General features: G+C 53.4%; 1 protein-coding gene and 1 long non-coding RNA gene across 4 annotated transcripts, besides 12 other annotated features; one reads left to right on the forward strand and one right to left on the reverse strand.

The window, feature by feature from the left end:
* Window positions 4,929–5,818: an enhancer, noted in NCBI's record as "H3K27ac-H3K4me1 hESC enhancer chr1:159887707-159888596 (GRCh37/hg19 assembly coordinates)". NCBI's record gives its function as "activates a minimal SCP1, AML or CMV promoter by ChIP-STARR-seq in naive H9 embryonic stem cells {active_cell/tissue: H9 hESC(naive)}" and the evidence as "EXISTENCE:reporter gene assay evidence [ECO:0000049][PMID:30033119]".
* Window positions 5,123–12,519, reverse strand: TAGLN2 (transgelin 2). 3 transcript variants are annotated; one of them, NM_003564.3, is made up of 5 exons: window positions 12,462–12,519; window positions 7,342–7,549; window positions 6,673–6,847; window positions 6,286–6,388; window positions 5,123–5,953 (listed from the first exon to the last, which is right to left on the reverse strand). In NM_003564.3, exons 2-5 carry the CDS (start codon window positions 7,519–7,521, stop codon window positions 5,812–5,814), a joined length of 600 nt encoding a protein of 199 aa, NP_003555.1. In that variant the 5' UTR covers window positions 7,522–7,549; window positions 12,462–12,519; the 3' UTR covers window positions 5,123–5,811. The 3 variants fall into 3 exon arrangements, with proteins under 3 accessions (NP_003555.1, NP_001264152.1, NP_001264153.1); NM_001277223.2 differs by lacking the exon at window positions 12,462–12,519 and adding an exon at window positions 11,506–11,607; NM_001277224.2 differs by lacking the exon at window positions 12,462–12,519 and adding an exon at window positions 10,448–10,746.
* Window positions 8,270–8,489: an enhancer, noted in NCBI's record as "active region_1905". NCBI's record gives its function as "activates an Ori minimal core promoter by ATAC-STARR-seq in GM12878 lymphoblastoid cells {active_cell/tissue: GM12878}" and the evidence as "EXISTENCE:reporter gene assay evidence [ECO:0000049][PMID:35858748]".
* Window positions 8,570–8,709: an enhancer, noted in NCBI's record as "active region_1906". NCBI's record gives its function as "activates an Ori minimal core promoter by ATAC-STARR-seq in GM12878 lymphoblastoid cells {active_cell/tissue: GM12878}" and the evidence as "EXISTENCE:reporter gene assay evidence [ECO:0000049][PMID:35858748]".
* Window positions 9,430–9,479: an enhancer, noted in NCBI's record as "active region_1907". NCBI's record gives its function as "activates an Ori minimal core promoter by ATAC-STARR-seq in GM12878 lymphoblastoid cells {active_cell/tissue: GM12878}" and the evidence as "EXISTENCE:reporter gene assay evidence [ECO:0000049][PMID:35858748]".
* Window positions 9,790–9,839: an enhancer, noted in NCBI's record as "active region_1908". NCBI's record gives its function as "activates an Ori minimal core promoter by ATAC-STARR-seq in GM12878 lymphoblastoid cells {active_cell/tissue: GM12878}" and the evidence as "EXISTENCE:reporter gene assay evidence [ECO:0000049][PMID:35858748]".
* Window positions 9,960–10,139: an enhancer, noted in NCBI's record as "active region_1909". NCBI's record gives its function as "activates an Ori minimal core promoter by ATAC-STARR-seq in GM12878 lymphoblastoid cells {active_cell/tissue: GM12878}" and the evidence as "EXISTENCE:reporter gene assay evidence [ECO:0000049][PMID:35858748]".
* Window positions 10,540–10,639: an enhancer, noted in NCBI's record as "active region_1910". NCBI's record gives its function as "activates an Ori minimal core promoter by ATAC-STARR-seq in GM12878 lymphoblastoid cells {active_cell/tissue: GM12878}" and the evidence as "EXISTENCE:reporter gene assay evidence [ECO:0000049][PMID:35858748]".
* Window positions 10,650–10,809: an enhancer, noted in NCBI's record as "active region_1911". NCBI's record gives its function as "activates an Ori minimal core promoter by ATAC-STARR-seq in GM12878 lymphoblastoid cells {active_cell/tissue: GM12878}" and the evidence as "EXISTENCE:reporter gene assay evidence [ECO:0000049][PMID:35858748]".
* Window positions 10,890–13,952, forward strand: LOC124904437 (uncharacterized). Its single transcript, XR_007066683.1, has 2 exons — window positions 10,890–10,963; window positions 11,491–13,952. It is a non-coding gene; the product is annotated as an uncharacterized LOC124904437 (long non-coding RNA).
* Window positions 10,949–12,148: an enhancer, noted in NCBI's record as "P300/CBP strongly-dependent group 1 enhancer chr1:159893727-159894926 (GRCh37/hg19 assembly coordinates)". NCBI's record gives its function as "activates an origin of replication core promoter dependent on BRD2, BRD4, P300/CBP, MED14 and CDK7 cofactors, with strong dependence on P300/CBP, by STARR-seq in HCT116 cells {active_cell/tissue: HCT116}" and the evidence as "EXISTENCE:reporter gene assay evidence [ECO:0000049][PMID:35650434]".
* Window positions 10,949–12,197: a biological region, named in NCBI's record as "P300/CBP strongly-dependent group 1 enhancer GRCh37_chr1:159893727-159894926".
* Window positions 11,480–11,889: a silencer, noted in NCBI's record as "silent region_1456". NCBI's record gives its function as "represses an Ori minimal core promoter by ATAC-STARR-seq in GM12878 lymphoblastoid cells {active_cell/tissue: GM12878}" and the evidence as "EXISTENCE:reporter gene assay evidence [ECO:0000049][PMID:35858748]".
* Window positions 11,621–12,197: an enhancer, noted in NCBI's record as "H3K27ac-H3K4me1 hESC enhancer chr1:159894399-159894975 (GRCh37/hg19 assembly coordinates)". NCBI's record gives its function as "activates a minimal SCP1, AML or CMV promoter by ChIP-STARR-seq in naive H9 embryonic stem cells {active_cell/tissue: H9 hESC(naive)}" and the evidence as "EXISTENCE:reporter gene assay evidence [ECO:0000049][PMID:30033119]".
* Window positions 13,953–14,046: the final 94 nt, after the last annotated feature.

Here is a 14,046-nt window from a genome sequence, read left to right on the forward strand (position 1 = left end):
CGCCTGTAATCCCAGCCACTGGGGAGGCTGAAGCAGAAGAATTGCTAGAGCCCGGGAGACAAAGGTTGCAGTGAGCCGAGATCGCACCACTGTACTCCAGCCTGGCCAACAGAGAGAGACTCTGTCTCAAAAAATAAATAAATAGTATGGCTTCTATCTGTGTTGTATCTCCCCTACAGAACTATGCACTCTTTGAGCAAAGAGATCATGTATTAATAATCCACATCCTCCATAAACCCTGACATAAAGTAGGATCTCAATAATTGTTAAATGAATGAATATATGAATGAAAAAAATGAGTGTGTATATGACGATTCCCAGGCAGAACTGCCCATTTTCCTCTGCAAGAAGATGCATTTTGTCCTATTATTGAAGACATTCCTCCTGACCCTTAAGAGATTCCAAAGGCTAATAACCTTCAGAGTCAAGAGGATCATTTTTCCTTGTCTAATCTAAATTTCTCTAGATGCAACTTTGGTGCATTTTCTTCTAATCTACCTCCCTGGCCACAGGGACTAAAATCCATTTCTTTGCAAGAAGACAGTTATTAATTCACCCTTTTAGCCTTTTCTTCAACAAATTTAATCCCAGGCCCTTTATTGTTCCCTCCCTGGGGTCCTATCATCCAGCACTTTCCCCATTCCACTGCTCCTTGGGCCTTCTGCCAAGCTCTCAAAGGCCTCCTTCAGCTGTGGAGGCAGGAATGGGACATATTATTCTCCACGGAACCATGTACAAACACACAGATGCCTACACACGCAGGACAAACACCTCTCTGCACCCATTATCCCCAATCCTTGGTAAACACATACTCATAGGCAGCCTCCACACACAGTCACAGATTATCTCCTCCCACCTGCACCGCACCCCACCCCCTGGCCCCCAGCCCTAGCCCTGAGAATTCTCACACACCTGGATGCACACTCACACGCATATGAATAGGCTGCAGAGAGCTACGCTTGTTACCCACAGGTGAGCCAAACTGGGTGGAGCATCTGAAACCTTCTTCCTTCTCCCCCTCTTCCTCCTCCTCTCTGCCTCCCTTCCCCAACTCTCCTTTCCATTGGCCATCATGGGCCAAGCCTACTTTCCCTCCACCTCCACAGTGATTTTCCACTTCCAGGCTGAAGGCAAGGAGCAAATGAACCCAAGCTGGCTCCTACCTCTTCCTCCTGCCCTCCTCCCATTTTTTTCCCCCAAATCCTCAAATCACCTTCCATGTGTCCAGAGCATGCAATCCACCCTCCAACCTCCTCTCCTCTATCTGTAGGAAATGCAGCTTCTTGGGTTTTTATTTTTTGGAAATGAATAATCTGGAAGCATTGGAAGCAGAGACATGAGCTGGGCTGTATCTCAGATATGATGAAAGGCTGGGTTGCTAGGCCCTTGGGCTGGCTGGGCACTGTGTTGCCAAGCCAGGGGGCTGAGGAGCATGAGGGTGGTGTCATGCTCACTCATTCATTCAACAAATATTTATCCAGCACCTACAACATGCCAACCACTACTCTACATGAGCAAAACCAACAAAAGCCTGCCTTTGTGTAGTTTACATTCTATGGGTGGGGACAGAAAATAAATAAGTAAAATATATTGGGTGTCAGGTGGTGATAAAAGAAAGCAGGAATGGAGCACGGGGTCCAGGCTGAGGGTGAAGTGTGCAGTTTTAAATGAGGTGATCAGGGAAGATGACGTCTAAACAAAAACCTGAAGGAGATAAAGGAGCAAGTGAGGGCAGCACCTGGAAGGAGATTGTTCCAGGCGGCAGGAGAAGCCCTGCAAGTGCAGAGTGTTAGGAGACACCTCTGTAGCGCGTTGAACAATGAGAACACGTAGACAGAGAGGGGAACAAGACATACCAGGGTCTGTGGTCGGGGAAGGGGTGTGGCGAGGGGAGGGTGAGCATCAGGACAAACAGTTAATGTATGCGGGGCTTAAAACCTAGGTGATGGGTTGATAGGTGGAGCAAACCACCAGGGCACACGTATACCTATGCAACAAACCTGCATGTCCAGCACCTGTATCCCAGAGCTTAAAGTTAAAAAAAAAAAAAAAGAAAGAAAGAAAGAAAGAGTTGAACAATGAGAACACATGGACACAGGGAGGGAAACATCACATACCGGGGCCTGTTGTGGAGGTGGGAGGCTGGGGGAGAGATAGCGTTAGGAGAAATGCCTAATGTAAATGACGAGCTGATAGGTGCAGCAAACTAACATGGCCCATGTATACCTATGTAACAAACCTGCACGTTATGCACATGTACCCTAGAACTTAAAGTATAATAATTAATAATAATAATAATAAAGAAAAATGTAAGAAAGAGAGAGAGACACCACTGTAGACAGCCACACAGAATAAGGTGTTGGGAGATGGCAAGAAAAGGCAGAACCATACACAGGCTGGTGCCTAGTCTGGGCCCCAGGGCCTGAAGTGGGGTCAGAGATGAGAGAAGCCAAGTTAAGGATGAAATTGTAACCTCAGGTGAGACAAAATGCTAGAAAGCAGACAAACAGAAAGCTGGAAAATGTTGAGATGCCACTGGAGGCCGGCTCCAGAAGGAAGCAGCTGAGTCTGCAGTTAGATGAATTAAGGGAACATTGAGATTCCTCACAAGGCTTGGGTGGTGGTGGGTGCAGCCAGAAGAAGGTGAGCCCAATGGCTGAGCCCCTCTCAAATACAGCTGGTGTCTCCCTTGAAAATAAGCTGTTCCAGGTAAAGGGGATAGGGCCACTGAAAGCATCTTGGCCCGTGTTCAACAGGACAGTGGTGAAGGGCATGAAACTGCTGGGCATCAGCTCCCTCTCAGCCCAGGGTCCATACACAAATGTTCCACCTTTTATTCCCCACACTTCCATTTCCTGAGCACTATGTGCTAGCATTCCCCATGCAAAGTGCTTTCCAGGGTTCATCTAATCCTCACGGCAACTTCACGAGGAAGGAATTATCATCTTCAGCTTACAGATGAGGAGCATTGCCCTGCCACCCACCACCACCTCTGTCCCCTAGTCCCTTGACAGCTTCACTTCTTGCTGAGCCTAGAGCTGCACAGGCTCAGCCAGGTTCAGAGCCAGCTTGATTGGATGCAAATCCCTGCTTCTCCCTTAATTGCTTTGTGGCCCTGGGCACATTCCTTGGCCCTTCTGAGACCAGTATCCTCATCTAAAGACAAAATGGGGAACACATTACAGTAATATCCACCTCCTGGGCGTTTGTGAGAATCTTCTGGGAGAAGGCAGTGGTTCTCAGCGCTGGCACTGTAACAAATGGCATTTCTCAGAGTTGTGAGGCGTGTGGCCAATAATTTATAGCTATAAATAGTTAAACCAGGGAAGGTGGCAAACGGCTTGTTGTTTTAGTATACATAGCGAATTCAATGTTTTCTCTGCAATGACATCACTCTCCCTGACTAGCATTCCACAAAGCCTTCCTGAATGAGAGATAAAGGATCTAATCCCCTGGGAATTTGCCCATAGGCTGCAGCCTATCTTATCTGTGCCACAGCCTGTGGGAGTGCAGCAAGCAAGCAAATACAGTCTCTCCCGAGGTGTGGTGTGGCAAGGCTAAGCGTGGTGTGGGGATGAGGCTGACAGCCATGGCTATGAAGAATTGGCATTGGGCCTCGCCCCTAGTGGGTGCTTTTTGGAAGAGGGAGCCTCAGAGAAGCAGGGGAACAAAAGGGGAGAGAACAAAAGCTCTGGATACAAACCTGTTTCCCTCAGGCACAGTGTTGTGGCTTTCTCCTCCTAGGAGACAGAGATACCCTCAGGTAGAAAAGGGGAAAGGGGCAAGGAAGGCCAGGCCTCTGGGTGAGGCTGATGGGGCTGGAACTTAATGTCAGACTGGCCCAGCGTCCCTCAAATTCCCCCTGGGGAGACACAGAGTCTGACTGGGAAGCCTTGGGGTAAAGGTAACACCTAGTGGTTAGAAACTATGGGTGGGGCTCCCAGCACTTTGGGAGGCTGAGGCTGGGGAGTTGGGAGATGGCAAGAAAAGGCAGAGCCATGAGGTCAGGCAGATCGCTTGAGCTCAGGGGTTCGAGACCAGGCTGGCCAACATGGTGAAACCCCATCTCTATAAAAAATACAAAAAATAGCCAGGCACGGTGGCTCACATCTGTAATCCCAGCACTTTGGGAGGCCGAGGCTGGCAGATCACCTGAGGTCGGGAGTTCAAGACCAGCCTGACCAACGTGGAAAAACCCCGTCTCTACTAAAAATACAAAAAAATTAGCCAGGCGTGGTGGCACATGCCTGTAATCCCAGCTACTCAGGAGGCTGAGGCAGGAGAATCGCTTGAACCTGGGAGGCGGAGGTCGCAGTGAGCCGAGATCATGCCACTGCACTCCAGCCTGGAGAACAAGAGCGATCATGCTACTGCACTACAGCCTGGGTGACAAAGCAAGACTCTGTCTCAAAAAAAAAAAGAAAAGAAAAAAAAAGAAACTGTGGGTGGAACACTCATGCCTCGGTCAAGGATAGGTGCTAGAGACAACCTGACCCAAAATTGATGATCATGGCCCAAGGCCACACCCTAGAAAGGAAGTTTTAGTCTCTCCCAGGCACTTAGTTCACAGGTGCTTAGGATCAATCAACACGGCTTCTTCCCTCCAGCGACCACCACCAACTCACTCCTGCTCATTCCCCAGCTCTCCACGTTTCCTCACCACTGCAACCCCCACCCTCACCACTCCAACACAGACCACCTCACCCCAAGCCCGCCTGAGGGACCTCTCACCTGGAGACAGCTTCACTTGCCAGGACTGATGGCTGTGCCAGCAGCCAGCCCCACCCTCTCAGTGACTGAGAAGCTGTTCCAACTGTAGAGGCAGACCCAGCCAAAGGCAGCAGGCAGGATTAGCCAATTCCATTGACTAGAAAGGGCCTTACTTCCCTGTGGACACTGCCTACATAGTCTGCATTCAGCTGTGAGGTCCTGTCCCCTCTCAATTCCAACCTACACCACCCCCCAAAGCAAGTGAGAATGAGGATGGGGAGGAAACTCAAGACAGGGGTTAGCACTGCAACCTCTCATCTCTGCCCTCCTTCCTGTATCACTCACTGCACTTTGCCCAGTATTCCTCCCTTCCCCACAGTGGCACAGTGGCCCCAGACACAGCCAGAGTCCATTCAAAAATGACAAATTCTTTATTTAAATCAACAAACTCATCTTCCTCAAGCCCCAGACCATGGTAGGCAGCCCTCCCTCTCCATCCCCTCACCCCACCCCTTAGCCACAGTGAAGGGAATGGAAAATGAGAAGCCACGAGGGCCCCTGCCAGGGAAGGCTGCCCCAGATGTGTGGTGAGCACAGTCAGTGCAGCTGTGGCTGGGGCAGCAGCTGCCACAGGCTCCTCCCTATAAATTAAGTTCCTGCAGCCACAGCTGTGGGAGAAGCATACTTGTAGAAGCAAGGCCAGTCCAGCATCAGAAGGCAGAGGCAGCATCAGTGACTCCCAGCCATGGAATGAACGGAGGACACAGAGCTCAGAGACAGAACAGGCCAGGGGGAAGAAGGAGAGACAGAATAGGCCAGGGCATGGCGGTGAGGGACTGAGGCCCCTAAATTTTGGTCCCAGGGGAAAGGAAGAGGCCAGTTGGTCCAGTTTTGATGGCTATGGGGAAGGGAATGTATTAGTAAGCATGGGGGAGAGGATGCCAGCAGGCACCTCAGAGGTGACAGGACAGGCTGAACCCCCCACCCTGACAGAAAGGAGCTTGAGAGCTCTGGGGCTCTCTGGGAATGTCACTGCTAAAATATATATCTACATATATATTAACCATTCGTGGGAGGGCAGGGGCAAGGCCTGGGGTGGGATCAGAGGATCTGGCGTGGCATCCCGTAGCCAGTCATGCCTGCCTGAGACGCCCCGCGGTTGGTGCCCATCTGTAACCCGATCACGTTCTTGCCCTCTTGCAGCTGGTTATCCGAGAAGTTCCGAGGATTCTCCTTGGATTTCCTGGGTGACAAGGGAGTGGTGGTTAGAGGAGATCACAGGCTGCCCTAGTAAATCCCTTCCTTGGACAGAGCACAGGCTTTGCTGTTGGCTCAAGGGCTGGTGCCAGCTCTGCCCTCGAGAGCCATAAGCTCTCTGAAGCCACCTCCTCATCTGTCCAAAGGGACAGTCATTTGCCATCCCAGAGGGTGTTGTGAGGATTAAGTGAGATGAGGAATTTTCTGAAAGTGCTTTGTAAAGGGCCAGCTGCTACTGAGATAAGTTATTTCCTAGGGACAGGATTGGGCAGAAACAATGCACCTGCTGGACCCTGCGGCTGTCCCAGCAATACTTACTTAGGGAACCAGTTGGGATCCCCAGAGAAGAGCCCATCATCTCGGGCTACTGCCAGCCCACCCAGATTCATCAGCGTCCGCTGCACACAGGCCATGTTCTTTCCTGGGAAGGAGAATGGGAATGTGTCAGCCTCCGCAGTGTCCTAGATACCAGGGTTCCGCCTCTATCGCTAAGTCAGCAGGCCTGGCTTCCTAATTATTTCTACTGTTCATTTCCATACCCTTCTCCATTCCAGCCTCCAATATGACCAAGTGCTCCATGGAACACAAACACACCCCTCTTTCTCTGCAGGGAGCCAGAAAACAGCCCCTTCTGCCTGGTCAAGAGGGCCCAGCCCAATCTCTGGCCTCCTGGATGACAGGACCCAGCCCCTCGCCCTGTCCCACCTTCCCAGAGGTCCACAGTTTGGAAGATGTCAGTGGTGTTAATGCCATAGCGCTCAGCTGCTTGCAGGAACTGAGAGATCTGCTCCATCTGCTTGAAGGCCATGGTGGAGGCCTGGATCTTCTTTACTGGGGCCTGCCCCTCGGGGTACAGTGCATTAATGAGCTCACATAGCACCTGGATGAGGACAGCAGGGGTGGAAAGGTGAGAATATGCCTACCTATCGCAGCTCAGCGTGCACCACCCTCAGAACCAGAGACAATGAACCAGAGAGGCTCCTGTCTTGCCTGAAGACAGCTTGGACTCTTTCACTAGAGTAAGCCTCACAGTCCTTCTTGCCAGCCTCCTTCCTCCGAGCCCAGAGTGAAAAGCCAGTGTTTAGTCTTTCCTTGCTAATATACCCTCCCACAGTTCTTTCCTTAGAGACATTCTTCCTCAGTGTCACCTCAGTCTTCCACTGCCTGGGAGGCACATTCACCCTTACCCTCCACTCCACGGGAAGGGAGGAAAGCATGGGCCCTCTCACATCCTTGACAAAGGCCTTCAAGCTGAGGAAGAGGCTGGGACATGTGTGCCTTCAGTCTTCTCCTCTTCAGGTTAAACAATCCCCAGTCCACTGGACCCAGTCCTGCTCTCCCTGCACTTCCAAGCCAGTGGGGCCCGGCTCTCACCGTGCCATCCTTGAGCCAGTTCTGGAAGTTCTCGCGTCCAGGCTGGGGCCGGCCCACATCCTTTCGGCACTGGGTGGTGATCCACTGGATCAGGATCTGCTCCAGATCTGCATCATATTGTTTCTCAATCTTCTGCTGCACCTCCCGGCTCAGGCCATATGCAGGTCCCCTGTTGGCCATTCCAATGGGTGGCGGTGGCTGCGGGGAGCTAGGGAGAGGACACACCCGGGCTTTTGGTCAACACCTTGCAGCCTGGGGAGTGGGGAATTCAGGAATTCTGCCTGCAGGGATATACACCATTTCCCCCACGGTGAGCCCCAAGGATGAGGACCAGAACTGTTACCAAATGCAACCCTGCTCTTTATAGCCCTGGGAAAGAGAATGATTTGGGGAGAGGAGGAGGAATGTGGAACAGCTTAGGAAACTGGTTGGATCTACCCTCCCTCAACCTCTGGGTTTTCTTTGCTTTTTTTTTAACCATCTAGGTTGGTGCAAACCACTGGATTTTAATTGAGCACCTACTATCTGTGCTAGGGATTGTGAAAGAGATAGTAGAAGTCCTTGGTCCTCAAGTGCCCACAGTGCCATCAGGGAGACAAAGTGAGTACATATGAACAGGTAAGGATTGCACACAAAGAATACTAAAGTGCACAGTTCAGATCACATGTTGTAGGAGTTAAAAGAAGCAGACGGGCAGAAGCAGCCTGGGAAGGCTTTCTGGAAGAGGTAGGCTTGAATAGGTCCTTGAGGGATTTCAGCAAACAAATCGAATTTCCTATGAAAAACCAGGCAATAAAAACAAATTCTACTTTCCCCTCTAGGAGCTATGACAGGCAGAATCATGCCCCCGCAAAAGGTGTCCATGTCCTAATTCCCAGAACCTGTGGATATTGTTATCTTATATGACAAAAAGGGACTTCGTAGATGTGATTAAGATCTCGAAATGGGGAGATTATCCTGCATCATCTAAATGAGCCCAGTGTAATCACAAGGGCCTTACTAACTGAAAGTGGGAGATAGGTGAGTCAGAGTGGGAGAAGTAACAACAACAACAACAAAATGGAAGTAGAAGTCAGAGTCACACAGGGCCATGAACCAAGCAATGCAGGTGGCCTCCAGAAGCCAGAAAAGGGAAGGAAATAGATTCACCCAAAAACCCCAGAAGGAACACAGCTCTGCCAACACCTGTATTTTAGCCAGTGAGACCCCTGTTGAGTCTGTAGAACTGTAAGATGCTGTATTTGTGTTGCTTTAAATCACTAAGCTTGTAGCAATTTGTTACAGCAGAAATAGGAAACTAATACAGGAGCCCTGGGTGATATTTTTGGGGAAACCTGGAGAAGAGAAGGCAAGACGGGGAAATACACAGGAGGGTTTCTTTAACTTCGTTGGAGGAGCTTGATTAGCAAGAACTGGGTGGTTTCCCGACCAATGGCCTGAGTTGGCGGACCTCACTGTGGCAGTGTGTTCCCACCACACTCACCACCTGGGTCTGACACTCAGGGGCTGAGCAAGACCCGGGCATGGTATGGATGCCAAGGGGAGCCAAGAACCAAGAATGGGCCACAGTCCCCATTTTCTGTCCCATCCCCACCCTGGTTTGGCTTTTCTCTCTTCTCCAAAACAGAGCTAGCTGTCAGGCTGCTCACGAAAGGGGACCCCCAGGACAGGCATCTGCGTTCAAGGGGAAGAAAGAGAGCCACCCCTTCTAACCACATCTGGCTCCAGGCCAGGTTGGCCTTCAGGGATGAAGTCACTCCAGCTCCCCCTCTCCCACACACCCAGGTTAAACAATCCCGTCACCCCCTCTCAATGGACCTTGGGGCTCTGCGAAATACAAGGGGACCAGCCTGCCTCAAACCCTCAACACCTCTCGGCCGCAGAGGCTGTGTCTTGGGCCAGTCCCTCCCGTCCCGACTCCAACATGGCTGCTCCTTTTTACCCCAGCTTATCAAGCTGCACATTTCCGGCAGATCCTCCCCTAAATCAGTTATTTTTAAACCTCATTAAGAGCAACCCGCCCCCTCCACTTCCCCCAGCCCGAAAGCTGGGCCAGATAAATGTCAGTCTGGGCCCCGACCCACAGCGCCAGGCACACACACCATCAGCTTGGGGAAGGCAGGCGGGGTGGGGTGGCTGAGTTCTGAGGAGAAACCAAGAGAAGCATCCCTGCCCTTCCCAGAGGCCACTCCACCATAGAAACCTCTAACCTCTGATGCACAGGGGAATGGCTGGAAGACAGGTAGGAAGAGGAAGGGGCTAAGAGCTACTACCACCAGTAAGCCCCCTTTCCGCAGCCCAGTTCCAGACCTCTCTCCTGGGAGTGGCTGTGCTCAGGGCTGTTTCCAGGGACCAAGTGGCCTGAGGCTCGGGGATCACCATGGCACAGGTAAAGAAAGGGCAGGAGAATGATTAACCTAGACACTGGGGTTAAGAGCAGAGAGAAAGGCCTGAAGCCAGACACTTCCAGTGCCCCCCAACCCCCCAAGGCAGGACAAACTTGGCCTCCCAGACCCACCACTGGGTGGAAAGTGGATGCTGAGGAACCCCCTCCACCGCCCAACGCTGGGGCCTGGACACAGCTGGCAGGGTCACGGCCTCCAGCTGCAGTGTATCTGCTCCACTCTGGGGCCATTGCCCTCAAGCTCTGAGGTGCCAGAGCCATAGGGCGGGGTCCTGAGAAGGGGCAGTTCCAACCAGGCCAGGCCTGGTCAGCAGCTGTTTCTCTTCCCCACCCCCACGGGCAGGCAGAAGCTGATGGGCTGCGGCTGCTGGAGCTGGGAAGGCCCACCCTAGGGACACCCAGGGGACCTGCCCCTGCCTTCCCTCAAACATAAAGAAAACAGTAAGCAAGTTGCCTACCAGGGTGAGAAGAGATATGCCCAGCTGGAAGACAGGTGTGGGGGACCCCCAGAGCTGGGGACCCCAAAGGAAGGTGACAGCTGAACAACCTGGGGGATGGACTGGCAGGGAGCAACCTAAACCCTAGCGCTACTGCAGCTGTGAGAACAACCCTCACCCTCACCCTGGAGTTACAATAGGCGGGAAACGGGGAGGGGCCACGCAAGGCACTCGGCCCCACCCAGACCCTGGGCTGGAAGCTTACCTCACCAAAGCCAAAGCCAAAGAAAAGGCGGACATGGGTGGGGGCAGGGAGGACTTCAGGGTTCTTGGCTAGGGTGTTTAATTGGGAAGACAAAGGGACTCTCCATCCACCGTGCAGATGGAACACAGGAGAACTTCCCAACTCAGATTTGGGACAGGGAGTGTTCTCAAAGAGCAGCACAGTGAGGGCACCAGCCCACAGAGCGAGGTGCCACAGCCAGCAGCAAGGATGGGGGGCGGCCCACAATTAAGGGAACCACCGTAGGGCAGCCCCTCACCACCGAGAGTCAGGAGCAGAAGAGAAAGCTGAGGCTACACAAACAGGAAGCTCCAAAGCTTGCGTGGGAGGAGGGGATGAGGTGGGGGCCGTTGCCATGGCTTCTGTGTACCAAACAGTGTTGGAGGCTGGGTGGGGGCTCCGGGCAGAAACACCCTGTCAACACAGACGTTGTGGTGAGCAGGCTGTGAGCACGGGAGCAGAAGTGGGATCGTCTCAGCAGTGCTCGGGTGTAGCCAGGTGCAAGAGATTATTCCAGGAGACAGCTATAGTGGGGATGGACAGCGTGTGGGGGAAGATAGGAAATGACCCGTGTTGGGGTGAAGAAGAGGACTCAGGAAGTAGTTGTTCAGGAGAAGAAATCCCCTGGGAAGGGAAAGTGTTCTGAGCTAGAGAACCCACAGCTGAAAATTCTGGAGGGAGAAGGGATGGAATGAAGAAAGGATTAGGGGCCAATCCCGGGGTGGGGGACAGGGGCAGAGGCCTTGGGGTGAGGGAGGGAGTTGCGGTTGGACAAAACCTATTTGTTGGTTCTGGAATGGTAGGGCCCTACTGGGCCCGCCCTGCCTTGGCCTCCTCTGCAGTTGTAGGTCTGCCCCTTGTAGTGGGGAGGAGAAACTGGGAGGGGGCTAGAGATAGAGAGCCATTGCTGTCTGGTGCTTTGAAGTCAATGAGAACACTGGGGGAGCCCCGTCCCAGCCGCAGGTCTTCTACATCGAATCCCACACTCCATCCCCACTCTCACCCCGTTTCTCTCTGCCCCACAGATACCAACTGCTCACAGATCTCCCAGGACACCGGCTTCAGGTAGCCCCAGGAGGCACAGGGCGCGGGGGGAGGCGGCAGTCCACCTCCGGTCCTGCAGGTCCGGCCTCCCAGCCGCCGCCCCCCACCCCCACGACCACACCCTGGGCCGTTACAACAGATGAGTCACCCACCGCCCTCCCGCCGCTGGGGTGACGCAGTGGTCTGGGCAGCCCGCCCGTCCGCCCGCGGCCACCACCGGCTTTCCCAGCAGCAGGGGGCACCCGGTGGGGGCAGCGGCGCTCGGGCAGGGTAAAAGCAGCCACCACCACCCCCACAACCTCACACAGGGCACCCCGGGGCGCAGTCAGGGCTGCAGCACCCAGACCCCCGAGGTCAGGGGACCGTCATAGAGATGACTGGAGCTTCACAGAAGGTCACCGTGCGACCCATGCAGAGCCCCCTAGCCCCAGCCCGTGACCTCAAGTCCCCAGAATAGCAAGCTAGCAGGAACAGGAATGAAAAGGGCGGCCTCGGGGACTCAGAGGGCACGCAGTGCTCACACGTGCTCCTGGAACCAGGAAGTGAAGGGTCGCGCGGGAAAGCCCAGGAGCACGAGCTGGCCCAGGGCCGGCGCCACGACCCGGGGTCACTCGGGGCCAGCCAGCTAAAGTCCGACGCCCTTTTTTCCCCTCGCCCCAGTGAGGACTCAGCGATGGAGCCCGCGGGTGGGGCTCAGTCCCTGAGTCCCTGCTCCAGACGGACGCCCTGTCTATGCATGGGCTAACCTCGCCTGACCTCATCGTCCAACAATGTCGGGTCAGGGCTTGGGGACAGGACCTGACAGCACGGGGCGGGGTAAAGTAGTCACCGGACCCTTGCCTGGTACCAGCCCTTGATCCCCGAGCTCGCTGGAGCAAGTTCAAAGCGCTGGCTTCTTGCTTTCTACACAGCACGCACATGTCCCCGACCCCCGTACCCCCGACCTGCTCACCGTTCAAGCGGGCTGGAGAGCGGCGCACTGACTCAAGGCAAGGGCTGCAGCTGCAAGTGGTGCGCCCTGCCCAGCCGGGGATTTTCAGGAGGGTCCCGCCTCAGACGGGGCGGACCCGGGGCGGGGCAAGGGCCAAGAAGGTTTAAAGGCGCCGCAGCGCAGAAGGAGGGAGGACTGCTTGAGACAGAGGGACAGTAGACCAGAGCAAGGGTTAAAGGTTCGGGGAGTCTGAATCTACAAAGGCGGCTGCAGTGGTCTCCACCCGTGAGTACCTCAGCCTCCACCGAGAGCCCGTAGACTTGTGCCCCAGTAGGAAACTTTCTGCCTAGAAAGTTAGCTAAACACTGTGGGCGTGTTTATGTAGGAAGAAGCCTCCTAGTTTAGAGGCTGGCAAGGTAAAAGGAGGCACAGGAAGGCCTTCCCCCGACCCCAACTGACTAGTGTGTGACAGGACTGGGACTTGCAGGCCGGGACAGCACCCCCACGTGATCTTGCTCACCTCTTACTTCAAGCCTGGGCAGGGACTAACAGTGAGGTCACTCTGCCCAGGGCCCTAGGGGTGTTTTCGGTGTTGGGACCCAGGGCTCAGACCTGTCTTCTCCCTGCCTTTCATCTCCTTTTCTATGACCTGGTATCTCTTCCTAAATCCTGGAGGGATCAGAGGGGGAGACCTCAGCGCGAGGAGGCTGGCTGGGGTTCTTTTGTCTCTGAGGGTGGAGGACAGCACAGTTCAGGGGTGGAGAAAGAGCCCCCCATCCTTTCAGGCTTCAGTTGAATAGAGTCCCCCGGGGTGGAGTTCTGCACACATGATAGAGTCCTCCCTTGAACCTGAGATTCCAGGATGTCAATATCCAGTCCTGTCCAACCTTTCTATTATTCTCTGTTCCCTCCCCGAGTCCTACACAGCCCTATATTCCAGTCCCACTGATTGTCAAGCATTCTCACTCTTCTGTGCCTTTACAAAGGCTATTCCTCTGCCTAGGACAGTTTCCCTTCCTTGACTGGCTCCCCACCTGCTCTACCCTTTACCTGCTGTGTGACTGTTGTGCATTCTATGCTTGAGTTCCCTGGTCTATAGAACAGAGCTAATAGTACTACCTAATTCATAGAATTGTAGAGAACTAAACAGTCCACCTATAGGGCTTAGAGCAGTGCCTGGCACATAGTGAATACTATTATTACCACCATCTATCTGTGAGGGTCCTGAGGACTCCCCCCCAATATGTGGCATTTGTCCCAGCACACGATATTAGCGTTCACTAAAGGTGGCCTTGAATGCAACATCTTCCTTTGTGCTACAATAACCAACACATAGCTTTATCACGGAACTTATCATACGGTAACTATTTCTTTGTCCGCCTCACTGACTAGAAAGAACTCCTCAAGGGCAAAGGCGTGCTTCCAGAGCTTTGTATTTTCTCAGTATCTACTTCAGTGGCTGGCCTTTAGTAGCTGGCCTCCGTAAGCACTCAATAAATGTTCTTGAATGAATGCTGAATGCACCTCCATTTATTCAAGAAGATTCTCCTCTTCTTTAAGGGTCCAGGGATTTTCCTGGCACTCTCTCAAAGACAGATAACACACA

This window comes from Homo sapiens, chromosome 1 (assembly GCF_000001405.40).
Source record: "Homo sapiens chromosome 1, GRCh38.p14 Primary Assembly".
NCBI classification, from domain to species: domain Eukaryota; kingdom Metazoa; phylum Chordata; class Mammalia; order Primates; family Hominidae; genus Homo; species Homo sapiens.